Source organism: Homo sapiens, chromosome 8 (genome assembly GCF_000001405.40).
Source record: "Homo sapiens chromosome 8, GRCh38.p14 Primary Assembly".
Taxonomy (NCBI): domain Eukaryota; kingdom Metazoa; phylum Chordata; class Mammalia; order Primates; family Hominidae; genus Homo; species Homo sapiens.
This window is the reverse complement of record NC_000008.11, coordinates 98,942,925-98,955,675: the sequence shown is the minus strand read 5'-3', so window position 1 is coordinate 98,955,675 and position 12,751 is coordinate 98,942,925. Positions and strand designations below refer to the sequence as shown.

Genomic DNA, 12,751 nt, shown 5'->3' with positions numbered 1-12,751 from the left:
GCCTCCCGTGTAGCTGGGACTACAGGCACACGCCACCATGCCCGGCTAATTTTTGTATTTTTAGTAGAGACGGGGTTTCACCGTGTTAGCCAGGATGGTCTCGATCTCCTGACCTCGTGATCCGCCCGTCTCGGCCTCCCAAAGTGCTGGGATTACAGGCGTGAGCCACCGCGCCCGGCCGCCAATACTTTTCTTGTATTAAAATTTGCTGTTGATTCTACACAGTGTTTAGTGCAAATGCATCTATTTTGTCATGTTGACGATCCTCAAGAACTAATGTTTCCCAAGTGCCTTCCAAGGGTAGGCTGCCCCTCCAGAATCAAAGTTTGGGTAAAAGTATCTGACTGAACATTATTTAAGTGAAGAGGACCAAATGCCTGGGCTAACATCAGCAGATGAACAGATGAAATTCCCAGTAACCACCTCTGGTTTTATCACTAGTGGTAGTTGGGCCTATTTATAATTTGAGATTTTAGATTTGTTGACTTTTTAAATATTTTGTTGTTCTACAGACAGATTTTAAAAATGCTTCCTCATGTAAAAAAGGGTGTGCCTGTGCAAAATAGCAATTGTAATTGCTACAATTATAAAGCACTAGTACCACAATGACCTACATTTCAAGGTTAGCATCAGTAAGAGCACCTAACACACATTCATAATTTTATATTAACAGTTGATTACAATGTAATTCGTTTCTAGAAATTATTTTTAAAACCTTACTGCATAGACTACAAAATGAGATTACAGTCACAGCTCGAGAGTAAATACCTAACTTGTGCATGAAGTTCTTCAGCACTGTGGTTATGACTTGCGATATTTCCAACTCCTGGCCGGTCTCTTGCCAGGAGCATTGATTCATGAGTTGACTGTGGTAGAGGGTGTAAGGAAAACACAGGCTAATCTAAAACTCAAATAATGACTCTTCTCTGAACCAAAAAAACCCAGCAGATCAATTTCCTAAAATACAAGATATTTTCCCTATGATGTCTCATAAATTTGTTCATTTCCTGTACACTTGGACAGTCTAAAGAAGAAGAAAACAAAACCCAGAATTTGGAGAGGAACTCACTGTTTAAAAGTTCACCTGGCTGGGCATGGTGGCTCACCCCTGTAATCTCAGCACTTTGGGAGGCCAAAGCAGGCAGGTCACTTGAGGTCAGGCATTCAAGACCAGCCTGGCCAGCATGGTGAAACCACATCTCTACGAAAAATACAAAAATTAGCCAGGCATGGTGGCAGGTGCCTGTAATCCCAGCTACTTGGGAGGCTGAGGCAAGAGAATCATTTAGAACCTGGGGGTGGAGGTTGCAGTGAGCCAAGATTGTGCCACTGCACTCCAGCCTGGGCAACGAGTGAGACTTTATCTTAAAAATAAAAATAAAAGTTCACCTAAGATCATGAAGAGTATGTAGAAAAAGTCTACCCTGACAGAAGCTAGAACCTTTCTGAGCCTAGATGAATGCTGGATTTAAGTGTCTAGATTGAGGGGAGTTGTTAAATTAGCCCTATCATAGGTTTTTAATTATCTAAGTAGCCAAGATTCCAAAAATGTGTCACTAGATATAGAAAGGCAGAAACTGATCATGAAAATCAGTGGAGCTTAGCACATGGTTTGGCATATGAGAAGCATAAAATAAGCATTTATTAAATTAATGAGTAAATAAATTAATTATAAGTAACCTTAACTTTTAAAATAGTATGTGTATCAGATGGGGAACTGCTTTCTCCACTTTCTCCTCTCTTCTTTCTCTTTCCCTTCTGATTCCCATTTCTTCCACTAAAATAAATGGGGAGGAACAGTTCTGTGGTTATACCTATCTATGTATTCCTGTAATAGGGACTTCAAGGATATGCCTGTAGCTTGATAGTGAACAAGGGTCATTCTTTGATAATTGGACTGAACCCTGTGAGATGGAACTGTAACACTTGTAGTCAGTAGGGGTGGGTGGGGCTGTGAGATTGACTATGTAGAAAAAGCCTGCAGGATTAGTGGGGCTCTAGGGACAGTCAATGTTAACTCTGCCCTAAAGTATTCAAATCTTCTGTACCAACGTGGGCAGGATCTTGAGAGAGGAGGGGCAGGGAGGTCACTGAGTTAATTCTGTACAAACAAAAGAAAGCAAACAGCTGTTTCATTCCTCTAAATAACACAAGCACATGCACTCCATACTCCATCCCTACCCCTACTCCTCAGGAAGACTTTGGGCTCATCCCACGCTGGGGAATGCATTTGTGTGAGCATTAGGCACACAGGCTGGTGAGTGGACACTTTGTTGGAGAGAATTAATCTCTGGTGAGAGATAAACATGACTTCTAGCCAGCTCCCCTGAAAACAGAGGAAGCAATTAGTCAGGAACACTTTTTGAAACCTCTTAGTAAGTTGAATTGAACAAGGTACTGTTGAGAAATTTTGAACCTAGTCCTCAAGTCTCTATCTACTTTTCTGGAAGATTCTAAGGTACAAACATAGGACATGTTGCTTGGAATCACCCTGAAAGTGAAACATGCCATCCCCACACAAATATACAAATTTTACATAAATCTGATAATGCCTTGTTTAACCTGTTATTCCATATTAAACAGTTTGTGAGAGCCTACTGTGCCACAGGTTTCTCTGTCATTCCCCCTTTAAGTTAAATCACTTTCCTTCCAGTCTCTGAATAGTACTACTCTTTATCTCCTTCCAAAGCCCTCCACTCAAATCCTACACTATACTTCAGGGTTGTCACTATACTAGAGTCATGTTCCCCGGGAACCATTTAGGAAAGGTTGAAATGTCTCAGAAGGTGATTACATGTTTGCCATGAGCTCTATACATGGAGTAACCTGCACTTCTGGCATTTTCCCAGGGACAAAGACCAACCAGTGGTGGAAACCTCACTGGTAACCCAACTCAGTTTGCTTTGCAGAGAAATCCTAACCTTCTAGAAGAAAGGATCCCCACCCTTGGAAAAAAATATTTTGTGAACATAGCTTAGTGGTTTCTCCTTTCTCCTCTTCTCTCCCGTCTTCTTGAAGGTTGTATCTTCCTGTACTCTTCTGTCGGATTTTAGACTTCTGTCCTGAAGGCAGGATAAAGTCTCTGTCTACAGTGATAAATCATAGTGTTCAAAGTCTAATGGTAAGAGAAGTTGCCCATCATAAATTGTGACAATAGGCCAAGGACTTTTCAAAAATGAAGTGGCAAGAAGCTCCCACCTCTTCTATGCTTCCTGCTTCTTCCCATCCTGTGCTTTCAAGTAGGACAGCCATGGAAGTTGCATGTTATATTAAGATATTGCATTTATCTGAAGGAATAATACGCAAGTCATTGAAATAAACAAAAGGGGATAAAACCTTAGGGGCATCAATGTTTTTAATATCTTTGAAAAACAAGCAGCCCAATTGTCTAATTCCAAAATGCCACCATATAAAAAGGGAAGGGCTGAAGTTGCAGAATGAGAATTCTGAGAAATCCTATTTTTTAAACCTAGGGATAAAGAATGTCCTTCAGTATTGAATTTTATAGAGGCAGCCCACTCTTCCAGAATCTAGAGGAAAAACAGTATTTAAATAGCAAGACACCTTTGCAGGAGTTTTGAAACAAACAAGAAAAAGTTTTATTTTGAAAATACAGTCTTTAAAGATAAAATTTGGCTTCCATTTTCCATATCTAAGTGCATCCAACAAGATCCCAAAGCAAACAAAACAACAAAACAAAGACCCACAACATTATGTACAGAGCTCTAAAATGAGCTGTGAATATCTACAAGAAACTAGCATATACTCTTTGTGAAGGGATGTAGTAGTGTGTGGCTTTCTACAGTTCTCAGTCCCCCAGAAGAAGAGTTAACTCCCTGGAGCTGCAGGTGCGGCTGCAGCAAGGGAAGAGCTGGGGTCAGTGAAGGGCTAGGGATGCGACCCCCTGGGTAGGAGACGTGGAGAGGTGTCTGGGGAGGGGAGCAGCGGCGGCACGGGACAGATCCTGGGCTTCTCTAGAAGTCCTGCCGCGGGGTGTGAGTCAGGCTGTGCCGCCGCAGATCACAGTTTCGCCTGAACACTTTGCCGCACTGCTCGCAGCTGTAGGGCTTGATGTCTGTATGGGTGAGAAGGTGAGTTTTCAGATTACTTCTCTGATTAAAGGTTCTTCCACATGTGGGACATTTGTGTGGAGATTCCTGTTCAGATGTGAAGCAAGCAAAGGATTAATCCTTCACACCACCACTGCACCCTTTTCAATAGTTTCTGTCTTATCGTTATCACAAGCGTTAACATAACACTCTCATGACAACAAAAGAGGAGACTTGCAGGAACAAATCCGTGCTCCTAATCTTCCAATCATGAAAATACACGTGCAGGCATACACAGAGGCCCGATTACACTGATAACTTCGGAGGCAGACCCGCAGCCACCTCGGTGGGCTTTGTGATTTCCAGCTCTTCACATTTCATCACCATGTCATAGGCAGGAAAAGGGGGAAGGAAAAACTCTAATCCTCTCTTAAGGAACAACATTCTCCTGGGTAATAAGGCTCCTCTTTGCTGGAAAACTAAACTATTCCTCAATGTCCTGAAAGCTACAAATTATGAGGCCCTTGGGAAAGAGAACGTATGGGATTTCACTATGCCTCCATTATCAAAATTACCTTTATTTCCTCCTAAACACGAAAGCTTTAAATGCAGGACAGATTGGATGAAAAAAATTCTAAAATTAGGATTTATGATAATCAAAGTGGCCGTTTTTTGAGAAAAATATAAAAATGCTTTATGTTAAACAAGATTAATTTTATGTATTAAAGAAATCAAGTGTTGCTTTTCCCCACCTAGAGAACTAATCTAAATAGAGCCTTTTAAGAGAAAGAGTCTGCCATTGAACACCTTTTGCAAAGCAGTAATGATAACACGAACCAGCCACTGTTTTTAAACAAGAAAACAAACTTACCTGCATGTGTAAAGTTTTGTGAACTGCTAGAGTTCTAGACTGACAAAATCCTTTCCCACACTCCTGACATTTGAAGGGTTTTTCTTTGGAATGGATGTATCTGAAAATCAATATAAGGTTTCATTGAAATAACTTTGCCCCATGGTGAAGAGTTACTTTTAGCAATTACTTAAAAGGAAGTCGTGGAAGAACAAAAGAAACAAGATTTCCATTTACGTTTTTAGATTTTTTTTTTTCCTGTGTAATTCTCTTTATGGTTAATCTCAACTAATTCTCTTCAAAATATTCACCAGCCCGCGGGCTTTATCTACACTTGATCGCCCTCTCTGGCGTATTCTGGAGCTCGAAACCCCGCTGAACGGGCCTTTCTTGGCCTCCATGGTTTTCTCTGGGATTTAAATTGGCCAAATCAGGATGTAAGGCAAGGCTGAGTTTAGAAGTGCTAATTTTAGTGAATCCCTTAACAGCCTCGCAGGATGGGTACAGAAGTCTCATCTCTGGGGAACAGCAGGTAGAGTCCAGAAAAGATACCGCTAAAAAGGTCTCCCCAACTCCTGAGAAGTTTTTACCCAATGATAACACTTACATTATTGAATGCCTTCAATTGCCTTGTATTAATGCAGAGTTTAAGGTCGCGGAAGGGAGGTGGGAGCTGTTTGTAAATTCGGTGACCTCAAGACCTCCTCCCCCTCTCAACCCACAAATACAGCTTAAAAGAAAGGTCCCCACGGCAGGCTCTGGGGCGCACCTGGGTGGAGGGTGGGGGGTGGGGGGAGGGACGAAACCCAACAGAAGTAGCCCGACTGCAGCCAGGACCGGCACCCCAGGGTACCTGGGTTCTGCCTGCACCACTCCCCACAGCACCGGGAGGAGACAGGATAACCATCCCAGGACTAAGGCCAACAGATTGTTCCTGTCCAAGACTGAGGAAAGGCCCTCCCTCATTCCAAACAAGAACGTAGCAAGAGCCGCTGGGGGAAAGAAAGGGTAGATGTTGGGAATTAGCTGAACCGGGCTGAGGAGCGTGACTGAGGGTGTATTTTAGATCACAGGGGATTATAATGACACTGGGAATGTCTATCAGGACTCGGTGTGTCCAGGACAAATTCGCTTTCCCTCTCCCAGCCATCCTCCTTGCCCGCCTCACCTGTGATCCCGCAGGTGATCTTGCCTCCGGAAGGCCTTGTGGCAGATGTCACACGTGTACGGCCTCTCGTCCGTGTGGGTCCTCTCATGGATGAGCAAATTGTAGGATTTGGTAAAGTGTCTGCCGCAAAACTTGCAGATAAACTCTTTTTTCGTTTTGGAGGGCAACCTTCCTCGAGAGGGCTTTCTGTCCGGAGTCAATTTACTGAGGCCCGAGATGGGGCTACCCAGTCCTGGGCTCAGCTTGCTCAGGTCTCCCATCTTAGGCGGATCCTCTTGCGTGGCAGCCACCGCCAAATTGGCAAAGTCAAAACGGGGCCGGTCCTTGTGCAGGGCTGGGAGGACGTGGGCAATGGCCCCCTGCTTGGGGTGGAATAGGTGGGTGGTAAAAGGCAGGGCCGGGAAGGGGAAGCGCGCGTCCACGAGGCCCTGCGCCGCCGCCATCTCCGTGATGGTGGAGCGGGTGATCTCGTGCACATTGGGATACCCCAGCGTCCAGTGGTTCATGTGCATGGTCTGTACCGCGCTGAGACCGTACAGGCCCTGCAGGTGGTCCACCGTGGCCGGGAAGGTGTTCACGGCCTGCAGGAAGGAGTAATTGGTGAGCTGCAGCGACGGGTGGAGCGGGATGGGCGCTGGCAGAGCCTTGCTCCCCATTTTCCGGGATGCTGGGGGTGCTGAGGGGACCAACCCTTTCTTCCAGGAATCAGAGGCCGGAGGGCGTGGGGCTCCGACAAAAACCCAGTGAGACAACAGCACGTAGAGAAAGCCCTAAAAATGGCAGGGAAGAGAGGGAGAGACCGTGACTATAATCCAAGGCTGCTCCTTCTGCCCTTTGGCACCTGCGCAGGTTACCACACCTAAGTCTCCCTCCCCACCCGACTCCAAGACCCCCCGAAAGCCGTGAGGGGACTGCGTGGCACCTTGGCACCTGCTCAAGTCCGCGTGCAGATCAGCCCGGGGCCAGAACAAGAAGTGCTCCACTGGCGAGCGCGTGCCCAAAGGAAAGAAAGTCGGATTCAGACTCTAGGCAGATACGGAGCGGAAGACTCCTCGGTCCCAGGAAAACGAAAGGCGGACAGCCGGGCAGCACCCAGCCCAGCCCAGCCCAGCCCAGCCCACCCTCCCCAAGCCTGTTAGGCGAAGCTCAGTCAACCGCAATGCCAATGCTAGCAGGCCGGGGCGAACCTCTGTCGCCGCTGCGCCTCGGAGCTCCTGGGAACGGTGGGTTAACGGATGGGTCGTGAGATCCCACGCGCTGCGCTGCCGCCGCGCCCTGTGGCCGCCTTTCCCGCGCTTACCCGGATGGCAAGCCGGCGTGCAAGAGCGAAGCCGGCGCGCTTCATCCTCCTGGGCCAGAGGGCCCTGGGAGGGGCTCACCTCGCCCCGCACTGACCTCGGAGGTTTTCTTTTTCCTTCCTCTGCCCTCAGCCCCATCTATCAGCGGTGACGGGCCGCAGGAAAGAAAAGTGACACCTCAGGGGCTGGATTCGGCCTAGAATCGCCCCCTCCTCCTATCCACGGGCTCTCCTCCCAACCCCCGACTAAGATCCCTTCCAGATGGTTCAGGCTCCCAGGGGGTGGGGTGGGGGCGGAGAACGTCCCTGAGGCCAGAGGAACCCCTTTTCCCAGACTGAGCGCCAAGCTCTTGGGAGGCCTGAGCTGCTTCCCGGCCTGGCACCGAGGAGCGACCCCTACATCCCTCCACCCGGGATGCCCCAGGAGACGAGAGAGGAGAGAGAAGAGAGGGGAGAGGAGAGAGGAGAGCGCTCCGGGGAGGGAGAGGAAAGGAGCTGCAGGGGAGCTGCAGTAGGCCAAGCACAGAGTGGCCCTGCTGGCTTGCAGGAACCTTGTCCGTTGGCCTGGAGGTGAGTGCGGCTGCGGTCCCACCACCAGGACGCCCGGCCTGGGCCTAAGCAGGGCGCTTCCCCTCTCTCCGTGCTCCCAATGGCAACACAGGTCTGATTTCAGACCCAGGTTCCCGGGATCACCTCACCTACATTCACAGCGGGCCCACCTTCTCCCACTACCAGCCCCTTTTTAGAAAGGAGTTCTGCCAGTTCGGGGGACCAGGGCCTTCCCTCTGAGGGCAGACCCCCAGGTGTAGGAGTCACGTTTCCCAGTCTGTGCCACCAACCGCCAAGCCTGGCATTTGAACCCAGCAGGAAGGCAGGAGAGACTCCAGCCTTCCCTTCCCACCCAACCCCTTCCTGCGTCTGACTTGTCCTCTCCAGCGCGTTATGAAGTATTGCCTATGGTTCCATCTGTGAGCAGACTTAGGGGGCTACGCTAATGACAGAGCGCTCTGGCAAGGCAGGATCTGGCTGCCTCTGCGGGGCCCACACCTTCCTCTGGAAGGGCTCGGGACAGAGATTTATTAACGAATCGCTTCTGCTTGGTGGTATGCGGTCTGGGAGTTCAGGCTAAGAGTTAATGAGAGGTGGGTAACAGTCAGAGGGTCTCAGTCAGACCATTCAACCGCAACTGCAAACCCCCATTAGTAATCAACTTTCCCACCACAAATCACGATTCATTTTTGCTCGGTGGCAAGTCTCTTAGGGAGGCAGGGGAAAAGGATTCTACTAACATTCCTGGTAATCTACCTGATTATTTCCCTTTCAATTAAAAATAATAATTTATACCTTTATTTCCTTCTCTTTGCGTAATGAGGATTTTCCAGAGATTCAAAATATTATTTTTCCCTTCGTGTTGAAAAGCAACCTCTTTCCCATAGAGAGGAAACCGAAATTATTATTTGGGTGTATTCCCAGACTAGATTTCTTAGAAATAAATACAGGAGGCAAAGCACAACTCCCACCACAGGGTGTATGCGTTGGGGAGGGGGGAGCGGGCATGTGGGGGAGTGGTGTTGGCTAAAGTACTGTTGTGACCTGTGATTTCTATACCAAAGGCACAGCGAACTCTGCCATAAAGGTTACACTGCCACAAAGTTGAGTGCCATCTTCTTTCCCTTTTCTCTGAATGGTTTATAATACAGAAATTAACGACTAATATAATTCAGGTTCATGTTAGTAAAAAAAAAAAGTGCTATTTCATAGTACCTGTTTGTTTTAATTTGTAGGGCAGATAGTTTCTTCATAGAGGAAGAGCAAACCATTGGTCCTTTTGAAACCCTTTTACAAACAGAACAACCTTAAATATCCACCAATGGCTCTTGCCACAAATAATTAGGAAGGTTAAATTTCCACACTCCCATTGAGTTGCTGGAAATGTATGTCAAAAGAAGTATTTTAAGTGAATGCAGAGATCCTAAAGTACTTTCGTTTTGTCTAGAGCTGAGCCTTGTAGTTCCCACACTCCCTTTCAGGAAATAACAGCGATCATCATCTGCTGTCATTTCTCCACCGTCCCGTTTCAGACCACTGGTTACTTTTAATCTTGCAAGGAAAGAAACTTAAACCAATGAAAAGTCATAAATATGTTGGTGGAGCTGAGGCTACTTTTCTTTCATCAGTCTTCTTCACAGGAATTTCCAGGCATGTGGAGAAATTTTGTAAAATTTACTTGACTGGCTGTCACCAAGGAAGATGTGTACACACTTATTTCAGTTCAGTGAAGCTTTCAAAACATTGGAGAAAAAAATTAAGAAGTAACTTGATAAGGAGTTTCGCTCTTTGGTAATGGTAATATTACACTGAATTATCTAAAAATAATATACAGTCAGGGTTCATCTGCTAAAACCTGTGCACTGGTATATGAGATAAATGACTGATGGTCGGATAGGTAGGCTCACTGAATTTCAGCCCAAACCACAGCAGAATTTTATATAAATTAGAGAGCTATAGACTAAGTAGATCAAAGAAGATCATTAAAAAGAAAAAAAATTGTTAAAGGACAGATTGTTAGGGCCAGACTGTATCAGGTGAATAGAGAAACGGCTGCGAAGTTCCTGCCCCTTCAGAGCGCCTCTGCCTTCCCAAGGAGTTAATTAAATTAAGATGCCTTCCGCATAATCTAGGTTCTGTTTCTCTGTGCTCCCCTTGCTCCCCCTGCGTGAGTAATTTTCTTGTTCTGCCCAGGACTGCAGTTTGTTTAGCAGAGAAAGTGGCTGTCTGCGCCCTTTCGCTTCGGGAAACGCCAGCCCCCTTTTGTTCTCGGCTAACAGGTAGGAAGACAGATCCGGGGCTCCCTCCACAAACACCTTTTCCTCGCTCCTTCTTCGTACAACTGCAACTCCTTTCTCACTTGCCGTTTCTCAGGAATCCGAGCGTTTAAGCCCCCGGGGAGTTTGCTTTTGGGCCCCCTCAGTCAGGACTAGAAGGTGGGAGGAGAATTTTAAAGCCAGCACGAGGTTGACAAATTACCGAGGACTGAACTATTTCCCTCTTGAAATGTGCCTTCAGCGTCGCTGGCTGGGCAGGCACCGGGTGTCCGGGCCCGTCCACGCTGCGCTGCCGCGGCTGCCCCGGGACAAGTCGACCCAGGCTTGCTAGGGCAGGAGCAGAAACACCATGGGATTGTGGGGTTTGATCTCAGTGTACGTAGACCAGCTTTTATAAGAAGTCTTGCTGACCGCTTAGATTAAATATCCCAAAACAAAATTAAGAAACAGTATGTAGAAATGTGTGTGGTTGGGTGTTAGCTGGGAGTCGCGTGCCAGGGACCCAAGGAAGTGAGAAATACAGTGCCCTGGGATTGCATCCCCATGATCTATTTTCACATCTGAATTTGGGGCACACCAGACCGAGAATCTGAACGCCTCTTACACCCCCAAACCCTTCCTTCCAAAGGGCAGCTACAGCCCCTTCCCAGAGCGAACACTCACCTCCCGCAGAAAGGTCAACCTGGGCAGCCGCGCTCAGACCCGGTCCAGGCAGCGAGGCGCACAGCTTGGAAAGGTCATTGAGTCCACGCCTGGCAAACTTTTTTTTCCGCGCGGAGTCGCAGGAGTCGCGGACATGATCTGGAGGACCGCGAGCAGCTAAAGCGAGAGCAGATCCACGTCTTCGTCAGAGTCTGTGGACGCGGACTGTGTAAAGACCCGGGGTGCTTGGGGCCGGCGTTCAGCGCTCGCCCAGAACCTCGCTCTTCGGCGAACCTCTCGCTGTCGACTCCCGGTGAGGTCGGAGCCCACAGCCTTGCAGGGCCATCACCCTCCAGCAGCAAGCACGCCGAGCTCCGTCCCCGCCCGCGTCCCTCCCCAGGCTGCCCCAGGCCGGGAGTCTTGGGCTTTAGTAGCGGCCCCGCCTCCCCTTCGGGCGGGCGTCCCGCCGCCGCGCGGGGCCCTCAGCGCCCTGGCTCCGCCTCCGCGCCCGGCGTCTGCTAATGGTCCACTCTGTTTACTTCTGTTTGGATAGCAACTGAGTCTTAAAGGCACAGGTTTGCTCGAGGTTTCCCTGTTATAGAGACGCAGCCGTAGGTGACTCAGTTCAAAACTCACACACAAACACAATACCCACCCCCTTTCTTCTCGTTGCCACTTTTCCTTATACCATTAGAAACTCAACAACTGCTTCTCTGCCTCTCAAAGACTCCACAGAGAATCCCAAAGGGCATTTAGTATTTTTATTTGGTTCGCTCGCCGGCTTAATTTGCACATCTTAACACATTCAATACAACTACCTTCACCGTAAAGTAAAATAATTCAGGTCTAGACTGCATTCTCCAGCATAAATCACTCTTTCCCCAATTTTAAACAGTTTTGTACATACTTTTGGTCAATTATGACTACATGTGTAGTCTGCTTTCGCCTGCTGTTTTCTAAACGAAGTTTGTTTACAGAGGTGGCAATTGACTAATTTAGTAATTATTGCAAAGACGCGTGGAATGCCCCAGGAGAAATTTCTTCCAATATTTAAGCTTTAATCGGCAAATGTTCATTTCATACGCAGTAAACCAACTTGGTTAAAACAGTGGGCATCTGCAACCCATTGGCAAAGAATAAAGAATCCATCTGGAATTGGTGAAGAACAATCATTTTTAAAATTTAGGAAAATGCGATTCTAGTTTTTCAAAACATTTACATCTTCATTCCCAGCAAAAATTGAGTTCAATGTTCAGTCTCCAGGAAAGTTAATAGAATTCAAAGTGCAGTGATACATTTTTCAGGTCCTTCTAAAGGTTTGGTCTTGTGTGAGTGTAACTGCAAAAAGCACTTCAACCTCTCTGGAATAGGGGTGACCGAGTGACAGGAAGGGAATGATACACACCCATTTTAAGCAGCTTCTTTTCAGATGTGATTTGCGTGATCAACACTAAGCAAAAACGCCCTTCGTCCCAGACGAGTTGCCAGAGGGGATCTGTGTTACTCCACGGCAAGCCCGCACTTTGAGGACGTAGATCTTCAACCAAGAGGCTGTACAATTCAAAAGTGTTCCGTCGAAAGATGGTTTTGAATGAGACGCCCCAAAGGACAATTCAAAAAATCTCAATCGTGCGGGGAAGTAGATAAATACAAGCAGAGGCTAAAAACTGTCAAAAGGTTAAGCAGTAATTGGGGAGTCAAGCAGAAGCTCCCAGATATTATTTTATTAAGATAAAATTCTTTCTATTTTATTTATGCCGAGGTGGAGAGAATTTTTCGTTCCTTTGGTAAAACATAACAGGGGTCGCAGATTTTTTTTCTGTCTTTCCAATTTTAAGTTCGCAAAGATTAAAAAGTGAGCTTGAAACGGAGATTCGAGTGTTTAATATCCTGCAGTACTTAACTGCTTCAAAGTAGATT

General features: G+C 47.1%; 1 protein-coding gene across 10 annotated transcripts, besides 5 other annotated features; it reads right to left on the bottom strand.

Moving 5' to 3' along the window:
- Positions 1 to 3,575: 3,575 nt before the first annotated feature.
- Positions 3,576 to 11,234, bottom strand: OSR2 (odd-skipped related transciption factor 2). Of its 10 annotated transcripts, none has more exons than NM_001286841.2 (5): positions 10,853 to 11,234; positions 7,255 to 7,503; positions 6,068 to 6,837; positions 4,921 to 5,020; positions 3,576 to 4,157 (listed from the first exon to the last, which is right to left on the bottom strand). In NM_001286841.2, the coding sequence occupies exons 2-5, from the start codon at positions 7,501 to 7,503 to the stop codon at positions 3,975 to 3,977; spliced, it is 1,302 nt and encodes a 433-aa protein (NP_001273770.1). In that variant the 5' UTR covers positions 10,853 to 11,234; the 3' UTR covers positions 3,576 to 3,974. The 10 variants fall into 10 exon arrangements, with proteins under 10 accessions (NP_001273770.1, XP_005250835.1, XP_011515127.1 ...); XM_005250778.5 differs by having other exon boundaries at positions 3,576 to 4,075; XM_011516825.3 differs by having other exon boundaries at positions 7,447 to 7,503.
- Positions 7,139 to 7,288: an enhancer, noted in NCBI's record as "active region_27681". NCBI's record gives its function as "activates an Ori minimal core promoter by ATAC-STARR-seq in GM12878 lymphoblastoid cells {active_cell/tissue: GM12878}" and the evidence as "EXISTENCE:reporter gene assay evidence [ECO:0000049][PMID:35858748]".
- Positions 7,781 to 8,386: an enhancer, noted in NCBI's record as "H3K4me1 hESC enhancer chr8:99959518-99960123 (GRCh37/hg19 assembly coordinates)". NCBI's record gives its function as "activates a minimal SCP1, AML or CMV promoter by ChIP-STARR-seq in naive H9 embryonic stem cells {active_cell/tissue: H9 hESC(naive)}" and the evidence as "EXISTENCE:reporter gene assay evidence [ECO:0000049][PMID:30033119]".
- Positions 9,969 to 10,469: an enhancer, noted in NCBI's record as "H3K4me1 hESC enhancer chr8:99957435-99957935 (GRCh37/hg19 assembly coordinates)". NCBI's record gives its function as "activates a minimal SCP1, AML or CMV promoter by ChIP-STARR-seq in primed H9 embryonic stem cells {active_cell/tissue: H9 hESC(primed)}" and the evidence as "EXISTENCE:reporter gene assay evidence [ECO:0000049][PMID:30033119]".
- Positions 10,470 to 10,970: an enhancer, noted in NCBI's record as "H3K4me1 hESC enhancer chr8:99956934-99957434 (GRCh37/hg19 assembly coordinates)". NCBI's record gives its function as "activates a minimal SCP1, AML or CMV promoter by ChIP-STARR-seq in naive H9 embryonic stem cells {active_cell/tissue: H9 hESC(naive)}" and the evidence as "EXISTENCE:reporter gene assay evidence [ECO:0000049][PMID:30033119]".
- Positions 11,116 to 11,475: a silencer, noted in NCBI's record as "silent region_19404". NCBI's record gives its function as "represses an Ori minimal core promoter by ATAC-STARR-seq in GM12878 lymphoblastoid cells {active_cell/tissue: GM12878}" and the evidence as "EXISTENCE:reporter gene assay evidence [ECO:0000049][PMID:35858748]".